This window comes from Homo sapiens, chromosome 7, assembly GCF_000001405.40.
Source record: "Homo sapiens chromosome 7, GRCh38.p14 Primary Assembly".
In the NCBI taxonomy this organism is placed as follows: Eukaryota; Metazoa; Chordata; class Mammalia; order Primates; family Hominidae; genus Homo; species Homo sapiens.
The window spans coordinates 18934759-18955539 of record NC_000007.14 but is presented as its reverse complement, the minus strand read 5'-3'; the positions used below and the strand labels follow the sequence as shown (position 1 = coordinate 18955539).

The 20781-nt window shown below is 33.8% G+C and overlaps 1 protein-coding gene and 1 pseudogene across 6 annotated transcripts in view; one reads left to right on the top strand and one right to left on the bottom strand.

Moving 5' to 3' along the window:
• The window catches only part of HDAC9 (histone deacetylase 9), a 915592-nt gene that overhangs the window by 46877 nt on the left and 847934 nt on the right, over positions 1–20781 (bottom strand). For 5 of the 6 annotated variants that reach the window (NM_001321868.2, NM_178425.4, NM_001321877.2 and 2 more), the window contains 2 exons: positions 19598–19731; positions 1310–1394 (listed from right to left, as the gene is read on the bottom strand). In NM_001321868.2, the coding sequence (NP_001308797.1) occupies positions 1310–1394; positions 19598–19731 (219 nt within the window). Of the gene's footprint in view, positions 1–1223; positions 1395–19597; positions 19732–20781 lie in introns of those variants that run through there. The other variant, NM_058176.2, reaches the window with a different exon arrangement.
• NPM1P13 (nucleophosmin 1 pseudogene 13) lies at positions 5764–6949 on the top strand (annotated as a pseudogene).

The window sequence follows — 20781 nt, the reverse complement described above, 5'->3', positions numbered from 1 at the left end:
TATACATAGGAACAATCAATTTTAACACTCTGTGTATATAATGGCTAAACAATGCTCAGAAAAAGATAATAATATGTATAAAAACTGAGATATTTTCATTCTATTAATGACCTGAAAGCATACATTGGATTGCATGTGGATGAAGAGAAGAATGCTGTCAAAGATCACTACAAGATTCCTTGCTTTGAAATCTAGAATGACATGTAATAGACCCTCTTTATCTAGCCCCAATGGAAACAAGACAAAGACAGGACAATGACAGGATTTTCTTCTTAAGCTTATGAAATCACCTCCAGCCTTCGCTGCTTTGTCTCTGTCAGTTCCTGTACTTTAGGCTTATATCAGAGACTTGAATAGTGCACCCCAGCATTTGAAGGTTTATTTTTCTATTCCCTAAAAGTCTTCAAAATTCATAGTTTATTTCAGTTATGACATGTAGTCAATAAATGTTTATTGGGTACATATAGCCCTCAGTCACAGCATGAGTGAGATGAAGTGGAGAATTATTTTTAGTTCCTATATGGCCTGATGTGTAAATATTCACAGTATCAAATAAATGGGTAATTTAACTCCAGTCAACCCATATCTCCAAATTGCTACTGAACAAGCAAAGGCAATGACCCAAAGAGATAGCTGGCAAGTGGCTTCTTAAGTGGCACTTAATAAATGCTTCTACAAGACAGTAGCAAACCTAAGGGTTTTCCTGTTCCTCCTGGACACCTAATAGTGCCCTTTGGTTTTCCTCTTCATGCTAATCTTCATGTTAGTTTGTGCTTGATTTCAGCATGTGTGTGCACCCATGTGTGCTTATGTGTATGTATGTGTGTGAAGGGAGTTGGATAATAAAAAAAGTCTATGACTTAACCCTGCTTTGTTAAGTTGGATTTTCCCATACAGAGGCTTTCTCATTAATTTTTTTTTCCTCTCTTGACACATATGAATCAGTAAATGATTGCTGAATTCCAACATCATTAGGAGATAACTACCCTTCATTAAGATTGGATTACAAAATCACAATTTCTGCATTTATTTCATGGTTCTGGGTAAATGCTTAGTGATCATAATGGTAAAAACTCCAAATACCTGAAATACATGAGAAAAACAAGATTCTAAATCTAGAGTCTCTACGTTTTGTCATCAGTGTAAGATAAGATTGCTGCATTAAGAGCAACACATTAAGATATATACTTAAGAACGCATGTGCAAATTATGATAACTCTAAATAAATGTTTCTTTGTACTATAATTTTCAATATAATTTTAGTTAGTTTTACCTGCTTAGAATTTTTAAGAGAACTTTAAAGACATACTTTGAATTTCAATGATCTTCTGTAAAGAAATAACAGCATTCATATTCGGGCTTTGGTGGAGAATATCTTCTGCAAGTGGCTCCAGCTGCAAGAATAGTAGATAATAGTATGAGCAGAATATTATGACTTTATAGTAAGTCTCACAGAAGCAAAGCAAACTGAAACAACCTAATCCTCAGGAAAAGCTTGCTCCGAGAACTAGTTAACATTTTGCTGATATTAGTTCTAGAAGTGTAGCCAGTTTTATTTTCTGTTTTGTATCCATGTAATTGAATTCCAAGGGGCTTTTCCATTGGTCACAAGACTAATCTATGAAGTCCCTGAAGCAGGTGCATGTCTGTGCATTATTCATTAAAAATCTGAGTTATTTGTGTAATTTTTGTAGGTTCCTGACAAACCAAATTCCATCATGTCTGTATATGCAGCTGGGCCCTGCAAACAAAACCTCAGGGAAGTTGCAATAGACAGAAAGTGGGCACTCTATTATCCATACTTTCACAGTGTTTTTACATCCAACCACCTTATACATTTGAACACTTCACGATAGAAAGCCATGAGACACAGCTGCTTTTATTCAAAGGCCATTGAATAAAGTAGTAGAGAAAGGGTTCAAATAACCAAATGTAAAATAACTGTACAGTTTCATTTAACTTCTACTTTATTCATAACTATGCAGATGTCTGTGTGTAAGCACAGGCCAAACTCCTACCTTGCAAATCTATCATAATCTTCTGGAATTACACTAATTTTTCATGGAGAAGCTCAGCAAGCATTGCTTTGCAAGAAATGAAGAGAAGCTTTAAATAATTTACAGAGCCTATCTGTTAGGCCTAAGTCTGATAACACATCCCTCAGAATGCTGTGGTGATTAGTTTGGCATGTTGCAGCAGAAAGCGCATGGCTAGGGCCCTTGCAAATAAAATAGTTGTCCAGCTATTGTGACCCAAAAAGCAAATAAAGTAATAGTAACAAAAGGATTAACAAAAAAGTAGTTTTCCTAGAAACATTAAGGTTAATCATCTCAAATAAGAACTGGTGATCAAACTATAATATGGCACGAATGGGAAGCGATGTCACTAGACGCATCAAAGCATGAACTCATCTATGTCTCTTCATCTGTAGGAAAACCTAAAAAAACACAGGGATTACCAGTTTCCACCACATATGTGAGTGAATCTTCCCCTCAGGGTCCCTCTGAATTGATTATTCTATTCTTCAATCATGAAATCTACAACAATAGCACCTTTATTCCAGATGCCACAGGATAACAGACTAGCTCAGGGATATTTATACACGGGTAAATTCACTAACTATAACTTTCCAGAGTGTTTTTCTTAGCTGCCAAAGAAAAACTTTTAAACATCAAAAGGTTTATTTGCAATACAGTTTGGTGAGAGGAAAAAAAAAAAAAAACATCACCACCACCGCTCTGTGGCAGTACAAGGTTCTGAAATAAACTCTTAAAACTTGTTAAAATCATTTTTTAAAATGTGGTATTTCAAATTGTATCTTCAAGAATATGTTAGTCTAGTAACACTCTCTTAACTCAGAGGAACTACTGAATCATAAACTGAAGCTTACTTGGAAAACTCTTATGCATTAGACAAGGTTCAGAGGGCTACTTTGCTTATAAATAATTTTTCACTCCTTTCTTGGAGCTTAGAGAAAATAATTTTTAATAGAAATCAGGTAGATTTTACTAATAAAATATCTTGAAATGACACTCTATGTTCCAATATTTAAGAACAAAAGCACAAAGCGATGACAGCTTATTTAGCTCTTCAAAAAGCTTCCCTGTGACTTTGGGGTAAAAATCCTGACAAACTGAAAGGTGCTGGCTCCTGGAAAGAAAGCTATAGGCAGATCATATATGTAAAACATCTAACTTCTGGTCTCTTGCACACTGAGGTCTGGGCTATTTTAAAGACTCAGGTTATACAGAAAGCATACGTGATTCAGAGTATTGAGAGTAAAATACAAACACCCCTAAACCCCCAATTTAGAATCTTCAGTTAGATGCAAAAGGGTTGTGTCTATTTTAAAAAGCAATTCAGAGAATTAAGGCAATTAAATTGATCATTTAAACCTCCCAAACCATTTCCCTGCATGTTTTAGTTGAATGTCATTTAGAGGATTTAACCTTCAGTAAATTGCCCCAATTTGTTTCATTTTGAGTGTATACATACAGACAGAGCTGAATTCAGAAATTTCTCAATGTAGGTTCTTTATTTTTTCTCTGGCAGGTATGCAATGGATAATATTCTCTCCGTTGGCAAGAAGGCAAGTGGCATTTAGAGTCTGTTTTTATAAAATTAAAATCTTGTATGGCGGGACCACAGAACTGGATTGTCTTTTCTAGACATTTATTTAATCACTCACAATTATAGGCACTAACAACATCTGATTGAAGCATCCACTTAATAAATATTTATGAGTGTTGTCATTATTCATAATTTAATAACTAATAAAATAATATTAAATATTCATTTTTTATAAATTTGGAGCAGAAAATAAGAATATGTGGTAAAGTTTTGCTATGTATTTAATTTAGGTGATTAGATACAGCAAAAACATTGGTGATGGAGATTAATCAGCATTACTGGAAATTATTAAAAGATAAATAAGGAGTAATTTATACAAACAAGACAACTTTTGCATGCAAAAGTTACAGAAAGATGAAGCAGATGCAAATGTAGGAAATAGTACACACCCGTCATGCCATTTCTGTCAAGCAATTCTGTTAAATAATGGTAATTATCATGGAGTTATAAGATACACTAGATAATTTTAACACAACCTCTTGACACTTAAAGCTCTCATCCAGCTTAATTGTATCTAAAGCTTAATCACAAGCATTACTCATAGCAATTCTTTACACAGATTTTCAGGCTCAGTGACAGGGAAATTTATTTTTCTACATCATTTTCAGAAAGTTGTGATAATGTATTGGCATGATTCAGATGTTTGTTAAGTTGCATATACCATATACATTCTAAGTACTGCAGCTATTTTAAAACACCATAAAATTGTGGCCATTATCATCTTATAAGTAATTTCCAGGTTCTTTAGAATCAGATCATTTAAATCGTCAAAAATCATTTTAGTTGCCTAAGATTCATCTATAGAAAGAGGCGAGGGATATTCTTGGAGAAGCTGTTGAGTAAGATTTTTAAAATTTACGCTGTACTGATGAGCTATGAAAAACAGCTCACTGATTTTTTTTATTTGCATGACTTAGAACAGAACATAAAAGAAGCTAAACAGAGCCTTTGCAAATGTAACAGGTGTGTGAGGATGGATGTATACATCAATCAAGCAAAGGATCTATTAAATAGACTTGTTAGCGTTTTTGTTATGTGTTGACGTTTCCCAAATATGCCAAGTATTTTAATATTTCTGTACTTTTATCTATTCTGTTTCCTCTGAATTCTATTTTTTTCATTCTTCTTTGAATTGGTAAAACCTTACCAAGCATTCAAGGACCACCGCAAATATTGCGTGCTCCTCAAATTCTCCACTAGAGCAAATTTCTTCCCCTCCTATGGCCCTTTCCCCCACAAATATTCTTATTTACTAAATACATTATGTAGTAGAAAGTCATTTTTATCCCACTCTCTATTTTGTTGTGAGCCATTTAAAGACGAAGATGGAGACTGTATATGAAAGACATTTTAAAAATGTTGAATAAATGGAGAAATACTTAATCGAAAAAATAACATGAAGAGGTGGCCTTTATTCTGCTCACCATAGCTAACAAGACAAAATAAAATGGGTTCTTCCTCTTGGTTTCCTGCTGTAATCAGGATATGGTTTTAAGATGAAGAATTAGAACAGCAGTGATAACTCATTTTGTTTTCTAAGGTGAACTGCTCTTGCATAATTTCCACACAATTATTTTCTCCTATGCATTGGCAAGGTTTCCTGACATGCAGGCAGATATTTCTATAGATCAGAAATGCAGGGAAATGCAAAAGAAACAAAGACCCAGGGCAAGTAGAGGCAGAATGGCCATGCCAATAATTAGAGGAGAAAAGGTTGCTTCCAATTGAGCGGAAGAAAAAGCAATAGAATGACAATAAAATGGAATGAAATTTTGAAAGGCATTGAAATTAATCTTTAATCCAATTTGAGGAGAACTGGGATCATCTCAATACCTAGACCTCTAATCCATAACATAATGTATTCTATAATTTATTTAGATGTTTGTTAACTTCTCTAAAAATATTCTACAATTTTATGAATAGGGTCATATTTTCAGATAGATTTATTCTAGGTATTTGGTTTGTTTAATGCTTTTGTAAATTATGTATGTGTATATATTTACACTATATATATAAAATACGTATATTTATAATTTAATTAAAAAATTTTCAATCCTGGTGTGATTCTGTCCTGTGTGTTTGTTCTCTGGAGTAGGAGTCATTTATCTCCATTCGCCTTCTCTCCCACCACAGTGGGTGCCACAAACCCATAGAAGATTTGATGGACGTGGACATGAGCCCTCTAAGGCCTCAAAATTAACTTTTTAATTGTGAACTAAAGCTGACAAATATTATCACTTTAATGTGGATGATGATGAAAATGAGCACCAGTTTTCTTTAAGAATGGCCAGTTCAGGAGCTGGTACCTATGATGAATTGCACATCGTTGAAGCAGAAGCAATGAAATATAAACGCAGTCCAAATAAAAGTAACACTGGCAACTTTGAAAATGTCTGTACAGCCAACAGTTTCCTTTGTGGGCTTTGAAATACCACCACCTATGGTCTTATGGTTGAAGCATAGTTCAGGGCCAGTGCATATTAATGGGCAGCACTTAACAGCTGTGGAGGAAGATGCACAGTGAGAAGATGAAGAGGAGGAGGATGCAAAGCTCTTAAGTATATCTGGAAAGCGAGCTGCCTCTAGAGGTGGTAGTGAGGTTCCACAGAAAAAAAGTAAAAACTTGCTGCTAATGAAGATAATGATGATGACAATGAAGATGACGATGACAAGGGTGAGGAAGATGAAGAAAAAGCTCAGTGAAGAAATCTATATAAGATACTCCAGCCAAAATTGCACAAAAATCAAACCAGACTGAAAAAGACTCAAAACCATCAACATCAAGACCCAAAAGGTCAAGAATCCTTCAAAAAACAGAAAAAAAACCCTCCCAAAACGCTAAAAGGACCTAGTTCTGTAGAAAACATTAAAGCAAAAATGCAAGCAAGTACACAAAAAGGTGGTTCTCTTCCCAAATTGGAAACCAATTTCATCAATTATGTGAAGAACTGCTTCCTAATGACTGACCAAGAGGCTATTCAAGATCTCTGGCAGTGGAGCAAGAAGTCTCCTTAATAGTTTAAACAGCTTGTTAGAAAATTTCTGTCTTATTTCATTTCTCTATCATTTGATATCCACCTGTCTTTTTGTAATGCAGAGTGAGAAATTTACATACCATATCTGATAAATGTTGTCCAGGTTCCATTGCCAAGAATGTGTTGTCCAAAATGTCTGTTCAGTTTTCTAAGATGGAACTCCACCCTTTGCTTGGTTTTAAGTATGTATGGAATGTTATGATAGGATATAGTATAGTAGTGGTCAGACACGGAAATGGTGGGGATACAAAAATGTGTGTGTGAAATAAACTCATTATTAAAATGTTTTTTGAAGTAATTTTATATTTATAGAAAGTTTCAAACATTGTACAAAATTCCCATGTACTCTTCACCCAGTTTCCCTTAACGATAACTGGTTACATAAAACCAGTGTATTCTTAAACTTTTATTTTCTACAGTTATGACAGTTATATAGATATATAATTAATTTTTACTAAACCTTTTAAGTGAGTTTTAAATTTTCACTGATTTTTAATTAACTACCCACTTTGTTAAATTTACATATTAATTCATAATTTAAATGAACATCTTTTAATAGATTTTCTTCATACTCAATTACAAATCATCTGTAAATAGTGAAAGATTTATTTATTTTTCTCCAATACTGATATCTTTTTCTTTTTTTTACAATATCGCACTGTCTAGGATTCCCTGAACAATGCTGAAATGAAGCAGTAAGAGTATCTTCGTCTTGTTTTCGATTTAAAAGAATAATTTCTATATTTCCCCTTTAAACCTGATGTATACTGTGGAATTTATTTTGTAGCTATCCTTTATCAAGTTAATAAACATTTTTTATTTCTATTTGTAAAAATTGTTCATTATGATTGGGTAGTTTATCAGCTGCTTTTAAAACATTTATTGAAATATATTTCTTCCTCATTGTCTTAATGTGATGAATTATAATGAATTAGTTTGGAAAGTTGATATGTTATATTTCTAGAGTAAACCCAATTTTTATGAACATTTAAGATCTTGATGAACTGCTAATATTTTATTTAGGGTTTTAACTACTATGACTATGAGAAATATTCTCTTATAATATTCCTTTCTTGTGATATTCTGTTAAGTTTTTGGTATTGGTATCACATAGGCCTCAAAAAATTATTTGTGATGGATTCTTCCTACCATCCATTCCTTTATTCTAAAACAATTTGTGATTGGTGTTATTTTTTCCTTAAATTCCTGGTAGAATTTCCTGGTGAAGCTATATGGGTTTTGTGTTTTCTCCTGGTAAATTTAGTTTTAAAAACCCAGTTTTGTAAGTAATTAAAGAACCACTCACATTTGCTGTATTTTTATTCAGTCTTGCAAGGTTGCATTTTTATTATAATTTTTCCATTTAATATATTCCATTTCATAAGTTTTTGAAATGTTTACGTAAAGTTTATTTTAATATTTTCTTGTCATCCTTTTAATAACATTAAAATCTGTAGTGAAGTCTCCTTTTCTTTCCCAGTGCTGGGCATGCATGCTTTTTCTTTGTTGGTCAGTCTTACTAGAGTTCGATCAATTTTACTACTTATTTCAAAGAATCAACCTCTGACTTTAAAAATCTTACATATATGCTTGTTTTCTATTTTATCATTTTATTTATATCTTCTTTGGTTTCTTTGCATTTAATTTGCTGCTTTGATTCTCTAATGAGATATATGCTTTTAAACATTAATTTTAAGTTTTCTTCTTTTCTAATATATACATTTAAAAGCATATGTTTCTCTAAGTTCAGCTTTATATATCACACAAGTTTTCACATGTTATATTTTCATAATGCTTTATTTCAGAATACTTTCTAGTATTTCACTGTGATTTCTTTGGACACATGAATTAGAGTATATTTGAAATCTCAAAATATATACGATTTTCTAATTACCTCACTGTGGTAAGAAATTATACTATGTATGAATTCAATTAGTTCAAATTTATTGAAACTTGCTTTATGCTCCATATACGGTCTATTTTTAAAAATGTTAAGAATGTCCTTGAAAAGAATGATATTCTGTCATGTTAGGGGATATATACTCCATTATATATTTAAATTATAGCAAGTTTATCAAGTGTTTAAATCTTCCACATCACCCTTCACTTTTATTTTCTTCATGGTTTATCAGTTACTGAGAGACGTGTACTAAAATTTGTTATGATGATTGTGGTTTTGCCAATTTTTTCATTTGGTTCTTTCCATGTATACTTAATATGTTTTCATGCTGTCTTAGACACAAAAAGTTTGAATTGTTTTATCTTCTTGGTTCATAGAATATTTTATCAGTATGAAACACCTCTTTTGATCTCTATTTTCTCTTTTTTCTTGCCTTAAAGTCCATTTTTATCTGATATTAATATGGTCACATGAATTTTCCTTCAGTTAGTTCTTGTGGATAAATTTTTTTTCATTTCCTTCATTCAAAGTTTCCTTATAATTATATTACAGAAAGCTTCCCTTCAAAGAGCATCTGTTATTACAATGTTATCACCTTTGTCTTAATTGGTGAACTAAATCCATTTATATCCACTTATATGTGATTTGTACAACCACCCAAGCTGATTCTAAAATTTTATATAAAAATGCAGTGGGGCCAAATGTAGCCAAGACTGTCTTGAAGAAGAAAAACAAACAGAAAGATTTGTTCTAGCAGATATCAAGACGTTTTATAAAACTACAGTAGTTAAGACAGTCTGATAATATCACATAAAAAGAGAGAAACCTGTGAAATAGAATAGACTCTCCATGTATACATGGATAAAGTTAACACTACTGAGCCATAATGAATGGATGGTCTTTTTTTTTTTTTTTTTTTTTTTTTTTTTTTTTTTTTTGAGACGGAGTCTTGTACTATCACCCAGGCTGGAGTGCAGTGGTGCTATCTCGGCTCAATGCAACCTCTGCCTCCTGGGTTCAACCGATTCTCCAGCCTCAGCCTCCTGAGTAGCTGGGAATACAGGTGCGCACCACCACGCCCAGCTAATTTTTGTATTTTTAGTAGAGATGGGGTTTCACCATGTTGGTTAGGATGGTCTCAAACTTCTGACCTCGTGATTCGCCCACCTTGGCCTCCCAAAGTGCTGGGATTACAGGCATGAGCCACTGTGCCTGGCTGAATGGATGGTCTTTTCTATAAGTGGTACTTGATCAACTGTATATTCACATTGAAACAAACAAACCTGACCTCTATATTATGCCATATACATATTCAATGCCAGATGAACTATGCATCTAAATGTTGAAGTCAAAAAATAAACCTTTCAGAAAAGAGGAAGGAAAGAATAAAAATAATCTTTTCTTGACTTTGGGAATCCAGAAAGAATACTTAAACAGATTACAAAAAGAACCAATCCTACAGGAAAAGATTGATAAATTATACCACATTAAAAAGTTACTTTCAATTATCAAAGGTCACCTTTAAGACGGTGAAAAGACAAGATATTTCAACACATGAAACTAACACTAGAACCTATAAAGAATTGCTAAATCAGTAAGGAAAAAGACAATATGAAGGTGGACCAAAGTTTTGAATAGATACTTCAAAAACAGTATGTACAAATGATCAATAAATAGATGAAGAACTGCTTTACCGCATTAGCGTCTGGGCAAATCAAAACCATGGTGATATACTACTACACCTCCAACAGAATGGCTAAGATTTTAAAAGACTGACAATATGGAGTATTAGAAGGATACAGAACTGTGTAAACACTTGTATGCCACTGGTAGGAGTACAAATTGTAACTGCCACTATGGAAAACACATTTAAACACATGCATATTTCAGGATTCAGCAATACCACTTGTAGAAATATATTCAACAAAAATGTCGGTACAAGTGCACCAAGAAACACATATAAAATGTCCATCACAACATTAGATACAATAGCCCCCAAACTGGAAAAATTCCCTTTATCTGTCAAAAGCAGAATATGTAAATAAACTGTGACATTTCCCTAAAAGTTATTTTTATAGAATGGAATACTATATGTGAATGGAAATGAATCAAATATAGCTAGCTGCAATAACATGGATAAATCTCTTAAGCAAAATGAGTAAGAATTATATATTGTATGATTTCATGGATATAAAGCTACAAATTAAAATATAGTCTTAGACATCAGAAAATTGGTTACTTTCAGAAAAGAGAAAGGGGATACTAGTTAGAAAAGGAATGTGGGGGCTTTTCATAGAGATAGAGCTGACATTACTCTATCTCTTGGTTGATCATTACATATGTGATCTCTGTGATATTTCATTGAGTTGTACATTTGTGTTTTGCAGTTTTCTGTATAATTGTTATATTTTACAATTAAAAACAGTGTAGCAAAAATTAAAAATCCAAAAAAAATTAAAAGCACTGTGATGTAAGAGAATAGGGAAACAAAGTCTAGATCTTGAGTTCATGTTCTTTCCACTGTATTACTGTCCTTCCAGGAAACAAAGTGAGATTATATATTTTGCATAAGAGCAACATGTTATATTCTTAGGTACAAGGCCACAAATTTACTTACAAAGAAAGCTGAAAGTCCCCCTGCAACATGCAAAGCGACTCAGACAAAATGCAGAAAGGGTTCAGTTGTCAGAGTCAAAGATATTGTGGAACGTTGGAAGAATATGATAATCAAGACCAAGAGGACAAGGGAAGCAGATTGTAATGAAGACCTGACTCTCCATGCTAATGAACTATTATCAATTCCCTAGTGAGGAGGGATTGGTGGTGGAAACTCAACTCTCATTTGAATAATTGTCTTAGAGAAGTCTGCAATTAGTTGTGTATGTTTAATTTGATTGTGTAAGTAAATCTGGTTATAATTTTATCCAAATTGTGATTCATGAGTCATTCTTGAAATAACCTATTTTATTTGTTTGAAGTCATTAAAATTCTTGACCAAATAGATTGGGGGAAATATCAGAATCAGGGTGATTGTATTGACAATCAAGTTACTACACTGACAAACTATTGAAATTATTCAGATTGCGTCTGCCTGCATCCTACCTACATGTGGATGACATAGGGTGATATCAACACAGCAATAAAGAAATATCTCTGGTCAATAGCAGTGACATAAGTCTTATGAGAGTAACAGGAAGACCAAGAGGTAAAGGGAACAGTCATGGTCATCAGCTCACATGAGATATTGCAGGAATTCCTTGAATAAGGTAAGAGGGACCAGTGAGTCAGACTCCGAGATTATTACTGTAGTTATTGTTCTATTAACTGAGTTTTGTCCAAAACTACTATGGCTTAGAGAAATGTAGGTTAAACAATACATCAGCCAATGAATGAAAGGAGGAAGACTATGAGAAGATGCCTCTGTTCCATATCAAACCCAAATAGTATCCCATAATTTCCATGATGCTTAACCATGGACAGTTTGCACATGATATATTTAAACATCTATGGCAGTCACCAACTAAGTAATTAAAAATAAACCTAAAAATAAATGGAAGAAGGCATAGCGGTCAATTGGAAAGAGGATAATAAATACAATTTGTTGGATGATTCAGATTATTGATATTCTTGTTTAATCATTAAGGTAAGTTTGTAGATATACAACATAATGAGAAAACAGTTAGAACCACACAGTAGAGTTAGGAAAATACTACATATGTTGAAAAGTGCATGTCAAACTAAAGTTCTAACAACATTGAAGGGAAGTTCGTTCAGGGCTGTATGTGTAGTTTTCCAACATAATGTCTGTAGTCTGGATATCAATTGTTATGAAGAAGGCTTGGCTCACATTAAATGCCAAAAATCTTGTTTACTTGCCCCTGTTTCTGCAAGTAAGTTTAAATTTGACAGTCAAATTTGTTAAGTCCTGTTTCACTTTGTGTGCCTTAGTATTCTCTTTATTTGCTTTTTTAATCTCTTCTTCCTTTAATCTGCTAATTTTATATTTTTCAATATTTTCTTTAATTTTTTTTATTTTATTAAAGAGATTTTGTATGATACTCTTTTCCAAGTGTTGACTTTTCTGCTAACAAGACCTGTTTCACATTATGTAGCAGTGGTGTGCCGGTAAATGTTGAACTGCTAACTGTCCAAGTAGTAGTCCTAATTTGTAGTATTTGCTGATTTCTGTGGTGTAAATATTCCCACCATGGCCTATTTCAAGCTACTAACGTGATGTTATTAAACTTAGATTTAAGCAGAGATACACACAATTGGCTTTCACAAGTCATTTACAGTCAGTTCCAGCATATTGTGGTTAGAGTATAATTTTGTTTATTGATTATCTGGGAAAATTGCTAATAGTTATTTTCATAGTAAGCTTTGTTTTCTTCTACAAGCTTCTGCCATCTCCAAAACAAACAAACAAACAAAATGCTGTTTTGTTGCTGTTGTTGTTTTACACCAAAGCTTGGGATTCATTTATTCAAAGCTTCCATATTTTTTCACAGAAATTCTAATTCCTTATGATATTCCATTACCCAGATTCAGCCCCAGTATATACTTTTATTCTACTCAACATACCTCTCCTCTACCAAAAACAAAACGAACAAATCCAAACAGAGCCATCCACAATTCCAAGAAGTCTTAATGTCTTTATCTATGCTTTCCCATTACATGATAATCTTTTCCTTAGACATTAGCTCATATTAGTCTGATTTTTTTATTCAAGACCAATTAAATGTTAAAATATTCCTCGATCTCTGTAGTTAAAAACAATGGTTTTATGTTATATTCCCAAAGCACTTTGTTTTACTTTTACTTATATTGAAACTTTTGGGCACAAAATACATGCCCAATAAAAGACTAATGAATGGTCAGATAAATGAATGTCATTTCATGTTTGTTTCACCATGGCAAAGAACTGCTTTCTTTCTTTTATTGGTTACCACAACCTGTGAAATATCCAGGTCCCTGGCCCATATTCTCCTTAACACCCTCTGAAAAACCTAAAGACTATATAGAAAATTTATATAATGGAGTTTTGAATTATCCAAACAACGTCCACTTCATTTGGCATTTGATAAAAGATATAAACAAAAATAAATCCACAACCAATTTGGCTCTGCCTTGTTGAATATAAGAAATGCAACATCACAGGCCACATCTACACTGAAAAGTATCTTCAAATAATATTTTCCCCAAACAGTTTTATTCTCTTTAGATTACCCACACATTCTCTTTCAGAGTATGGAGAGCCTTCAAAGTTTAAAAGAAAACCATAGAAAAACACTATTCTGACATATCATACATTGTCCCTGTATTCAGTTCCTCCTTCCTTTACTCATGAATGGCAACTATTTAGGAGCTTGTAAGCTTTCCCAGATTCACACCAATTCCCCAATGGACTAAGCTTCAGCCATACATAATCTAAAGGATGAAAAAGATGGCAAAACAACTTCCCTATTCGGAATCCAATGAAAACAAACCCCTGATGAGCAACTTGGACAACAACATCTCAAGAGTTCACCTCAGGGGTGGTTGTCAACACTTACTAGAGTCAATTCAAGAGACTGTTTCAGCAGCTTTAGAGCAAAACGTCATCTTTAAAAGATTATCAACCAACACAATCACTAAGTTTAGCCACTGTTTGTGAAATTCAAGTCAAATAGAAGCAGCTGAGCATACTCAACAGGAGATAGCAGTTATTAAAAAGAAACTGGAGAGAGGGAGGGAGAAAGGGAGAGAGGGTTGAAGGGAGTGAGGAAGTGAAGAATAACGGGAGGGAGGCAGGGAGGGAAAGAAAAGAAAAAAAAAAGAAGAGACAAAAAAAGAAATCAGAATCCAAATTTTAAAAAGAGTGAGGGAAATCAAAACATGCTATATGCTCCAAGTGTAAATGCTGAACTTGCAGTACTAGAGGATTTACCATAATCTCAACAGCTTCCAGACCTATGACAATTTGTTTTGCTTTTTTCCTCTAACAAGCTTAGAAATCATCATTTATTCGGTATTGACAGGTGATCTTCTAATGGCCATGTTCTCAACTCACTACCCAAGGCTTCTACTACTACATGTCCTCTCCTTTCTTTGACTTGCTTGAAGTTTTTCAATGTTTTTGTTTTAGATTCCATAGGAATGGCAACTGCTTAAAGCTTTTCTCACCTCTTGGGAAAATTTCTTTCAGAGGAAGTAACCCGGGGTGCCACTAATTGGCTTTGCATAACAGTAGGCAAATTTGGCCTTAAAGCAACTGTGACACTGTTTGCCAATCAGCTCAAATACAGATTACCAAAATCAGATTTTCTGGGAACCTCACAGATGTTTCTATTATGAATTCTAAAAACTATGTGGTTATTGACACAAGTATCCCTAATGCCTTTCCAAGCAACTTAATGATTCTTCTCATTTAAATATTCACTTCAATTTCTTGCAAACCCCAAGCTGGTGTTTCTAAGTGCTTCATTGAAAAAGATCAAAAATATTCATCATGCACTGATTGGACTGATAAATCTAAGTTCTAAACTTTGCCAAGAAAAAGAAAAAAATGGACTTCTGGTATGTCTTCAATATCAGTTGCCTCCAGGAATTTCCTGTACCATGCTCAAATTAGTTTTAATCCAATAGTATACTATTTTGACTGACCTTGTACATATTTCTGAAAAGAATAGTTAAGAGATGTTTTGCTAAGTAGATCATTTTCATGATAAAGATATTTAAAAAGAAGAAAATGCATGTTTTGGGTGCAACACTCAGATAACTAAAATTTTTAAAAATCAAGTTTTTTGGTACCCCTCTATGTGTCTACACAGATGCACAGCTAACGGTTCCTGCTGATTTTATAATTACTTTGGGTTATGTAATACATATTATTCTGCTGATCATAAGCCCTAAGAAGCAAAATTTTGCTGTATTGACATGGCCTGGCCAAAAACAACAAGGGAAAGAAATAGCATTCAAAAAACTGGCAAAATGTTTATGAATTCTAATCCTCTGCACATGAATAAATACATCTGACAAAGAGCAGAGGCCCTCAGAAAGGCCCCTCTTGACCTTTCTAATGGGAGTTCAATTGCATGTTCAGTGTTGAGAAACTAAAGCGGGTTCTGCCAATGTTTTAAGTTCAAGCTTTACTACATTTTGTTATTTGTAAAAGTGAAATCCCAGATAATGAGTTCTAATTGCTCTATTAATCACTGAATAAAGGGTTTGGAGGGAAACTGGGATTTGAAATCGCAATCTGAAAGACATCCTTTTGTATTTTTTTACCTACAGCTTACCATATAAAACTACTGTGAAAACTACATATATGCACTTTTTAAAAAATGGTGAAGTACATGTAATACGCCTTATATATTACTTTTCTAAAAGAATAAAATTTAAAACTTCAGTGTAGTCATAATGATCTTTGACCTGGAAAAAAATACAGAAAACCAGGCCTTGGATTATAAATTATATTGTCAATGAAAGTGAGAAGAACTCTCCATTCTTTAATGTGTTTTATGTATTATATTTTCATTTCCTTTTTCCAAATGAATTATAATGTACAACACATTTGTATTTTTCTTTAATTTTTCACTTTTAATAATCTTTCTTTTTCTTAACTTTGTTCTTCCATATACTGATAGACCTGACACAACAAAATTTACCTTTCAAAAATTCAATAATCCCATATTCATTGTTACCCTTAAAGTATCTGCTAGGAATTCTATATTCTTATTTATGTTCCCAAGAAAGTTTAATGCAAAAAATATAGAAAAGCATACATTATTTAAACCTCCCTTCCTTTAGTTTATATTGAAAAAATTTTAGGTTGTGCTTATGCAACTGAAGACCACCAACCAAAAGGGACAAGCTGGTATTTAGGGCATCATAATAACTAACTCAAATTTACCATAAGACATACATATTAATTAGTAAGTTCAATAGTCAATATAGCCAAAAATAATCATTTCAGTTAGCACTTACTGGAAATTTTAGCAATCTAAACACTCACATGGTCAGGTTTAATATTGTCCAGCAATACCTTTATTCCTTTCTCTTTCTCAAGCCTGGTCTTTCTAAACATATAGAGAAAAGGCACAGGTCTCACACTTTAAATCAGGTGACATCATTGTCATTCTTTCTGCGTTCTGGTCTCCAATTAAATTCCCTTTCCTTCTTAGGCCCAAGGCTTTGACTATCTTTTGCAATATGCAGTAGATTATTAATGTTCAAACTCTGACCAGTTGGTGATTTTCAAACAGATGCCTCCAAGGTAGCCAACAGTTGCAGTATTCACTCTCCTTTTTCTATCTTTTTGGAAGTCATTCATAAATTTAAAAGGGTGGTTTTAATATTTAATTCAGCATTTTGAGATTTTTTTTTATTATTATTTTTTTTGAGACGGAGTCTCGCCTCTGTCGCCCAGGCTGGAATGCAGTGGTGCCATCTCGGCTCACTGCAAGCTCCACCTCTCGGGTTCATGCCATTCTCCTGACTCAGGCTCCGGAGTAGCTGGGACTACAGGCGCCTGCCAACACGCCCCGCTAATTTTTTGTATTTTTAGTAGAGACAGGGTTTCACAGTGTTAGCCAGGATGGTCTTGATCTCATGACCTCGTGATCCACCCGCCTCGGCCTCCCAAAGTGCTGCGATTACAGGCGTGAGACACCGCGCCCGGCCAGCGAGATACTTTCATATAGGAATATTTAAGAATATGTAATCTCTCATATTGCCATCAATTTTTTTTTTTTTTTTTTTTTTTTGAGACGGAGTCTCGCTCTGTCGCCCAGGCTGGAGTGCAGTGGCGGGATCTCGGCTCATGCCATCAATTTTAAAGTCACTAATTGCTCTACAAAAGCAGTGTATTTCATCTCCACGAAAAGCACGTGTACTAAAATGGCCAGAGTTCTCCCAGTCAAAAGGTCATAGAATGGCAGCAAGGTACAAAACACACTTTGCTTTACAGTAAACACAGATAAATTAAGAAAAACATGTAACTCCACACAGTTGAATCTGTTCTGAAACATAATCATTTCTTAAAGAAAGAGATCATAGGGGAGATCACTCCATCCTCATTGGAAATGTTGGGTTAAGAGCAAAAGATTATGAGTATAGAGACATTTGAATGCATGTGTTCAAAGAAAGCCAGTAAAATCCCTGATTTCCTTCCACATAGGAAGAAAAGTAGTTGGCTTTTGCAATCAGGTAACATTTCTTTCTGGCTAGGTCAATTATCCATGGAGCTACAGATCCACAACCTATTCTGATTGTCTGCACATCTGGTGTAAGCCTTTATAATGCAAATATTAATATTATTATGCTTCTGTAACATATTTCTATAATTAAAATCAAATAAGTGATTTCAGAATACAGGTGACTATGCAAAAAATGTTATCTAGGGGACAAAGAAGCACCCCAACATCAACTTATAAAATAAAAATAGCATTTATTTCTTGCACTCCCTTACTGCCACAAAAAAACACTCAACATCCTGTTTGACATTATTGGTGTACAGGGATCACAGAAAGACACTAACATTTTAGAAAATTTTACACACGTTGAATTGTGCGTGATCTGAAACAGCAGCACTTTGTTGACACTAATCATTAGATAATTACATCCTTTGAGTTACTGTGCTGTCTAAAATTAACAAGACAGCCAGGCACGGTGGTTCAGGCCTGTAATTCCAGCACTTTGGGAGGCCGAGGCGGGCAGATCACGAGGTCAGGAGTTCGAGACCAGCCTAGCCAACATGGTGAAACCCCGTCTCTACTAAAAATACAAAAATTAGCTGGGCGTGATGGTGCACACCTGTAATCCCAGCTACTTGGGTGGCTGAGGCAGGGGAATCACTTCAACCCGGGTGGCGGAGGTTGCAGTGAGCCGAGATCGCGCCACTGCACTCCAGCCTGGGCGACAGAGCGAGACTCTATCTCAGAAAAAAAAAAAAAAAAAAAAAAAAATTAACAAGAGCAAAGTACTTGAGCAATGCTTAAGTTTTCTCTCTCATATTTTTTCTTCAAATTAACAACATACATTTTTACTTCAATATATATGAAAAATAATCATATGGAAACATTACAGGTTTGTAAAATAATGATGACAATAGTAACTATGTGTTCTATGTGCAGAAGAAAAGGTACATTTTGTTTTATAAAATACTACAGGCAAAGGCATGCATTACAGTTAAAAAAATGATATGAATGATAGATTTTTAAAAAGATTTTGTATATGTTTATCTAATAAGCAAAATCATATTGCAAATTCATAAAAGAAAGGCAAAATGCATATGATAGTCTTAACACTACTGTATAATCACTATAGAAAATAGATTAATGGATAATATTAATGAATACATAGAAACTTTGAAATATTTGCTGAATTGCAACTAATTGGTTGAAAATGTTGCCATGAGCTGGAAGTGAACCTCATAGCAATTGGATCTGAATTCTGCAGAGTAGTCAGAAAGTATGTTGCAATGTAGCCATGTGATGTGAAAGAAAATATAATGGTCTTTGGCCATTTAGATTCATGTTCATGTCTTGGATCTTATAATGCATTCTGACTGCATGACTTTGGATGGATTTCTCAACATTTTTGAGACTCATTCTCACCATCTGTAAGATGGAAATACCTACCTCTTAGCATAAAGAATTCTTAAATGGTGACAAAAATAGTTTACCAATTTTTAAAACAGTTTTTTTTTCCCAGAAATAACATAACCCTACAAGAAACCTCCAGACATTTTTTAAAGTTTTATTTCTTATTCAATGTTTCCGTACTCATTGGTTGGGTCAGTAGACAAAATGTTCTTATTTTTGAGCTCCATGGCTAACCTGATTGAAGGGAGTGAGTGCTATGTGGATTCTGTACCTGGGATAACATTGTAGTATACGAGAACATGTAAACTTATCTAAGGCTTACCTTCTTTCTTAATGGTAAGAGCAATGTTAAGCTTTCTGAGTATGCAGAATTTTTTTTTAGTTTAAAAATATGCATGCATACATCCCTGATTCTTTACCCCTGCCCCTTTGTACTTTTACTTTTTTACCTCATTTCCTAGAAGGGCATTTACACAGGCTTCTGATGCATCACAGATGGCTGTGAGATCATGTCCTCCTTCTAGAGCCAACACCACACGTCCATCAGCCAATGTCATCAATTGCTTCGTCAAATGACCAAAACCTACCATAATACAAACAGAACATTTCAAAGTATTAAATCAAGAGAAAGTGATCACTAGAATCTAACATTGAGCATGTATTTTGAGTAAGTCATTACTAAGCATTTTCTGTGTGCTAACTCATCCAATACTTAAAATAACTTTATGGATTAGGTCCTATTATTATCTCTATTTTACAGATAAGGGACCCAAAGCCCAAGATCCCACAGCTAAGAAGTATCACAACCAAGACTGGCACCAATCTAGCTCTTCACCAGTGCACAGGGCTGCTTTTCATAACATGGTCTGTATGTATCTGGATAAAAAAACTGAATACTCTTCAGCAGGTGTTAACAAGGTAAACTCTTCCATTTGCTTACCATATGCTTCCTGTCGCTATCAATGGCCTTTATTATAGAAAGTTTTCTATGCCCCAAATTGCTATATATTACAAATTTACATTATCTAATATAATATTTACATTATCTAATGTAATGTAAAATCTATTACATTAGATTTTATAAGCATTATTTTATTATGAAACATTTGATAAATGCAAAATATGAATAACATCTATACGAGTTATAAAATACAATAATATGACAAATATCTGCTTTTTTACCTTCCAACTTAAGGAAAATTAAGTTAGCAACACTTTTTCAACCCCCATGTGCCTTTCTCTGACAGTAGCTATCCTCCTCCTTGTGGGAGATCAGGATCCTGAGTTTATAATTCCATTGCTTTCCTTTTCTAAATTTCCTTGTTTTTCAACTTTATAAAAATGGTTTTACACTTTTGCAACTTGCTATTTTCATGTATTTTGTTAGCTCATCTTTGTTGATCCCTGTAGCTATAGTTTTTTTGCTGTCTAGTAGGCCATTATATGTCAACAGAGGTTACCCATTCTTCTATTGGCAGAGAGTTGGTTTTCTTGTTATCACCAAATTCCAGTTTTTTTGTCGTTACAAATAACGTCGCCATGAACATTCTTACACGGGTCTTCTGGTGCACATATGCACATGTGAAACAGAATTGTTGAGTCTTAAAAATCTGCTAAATAATGCCAGATTATT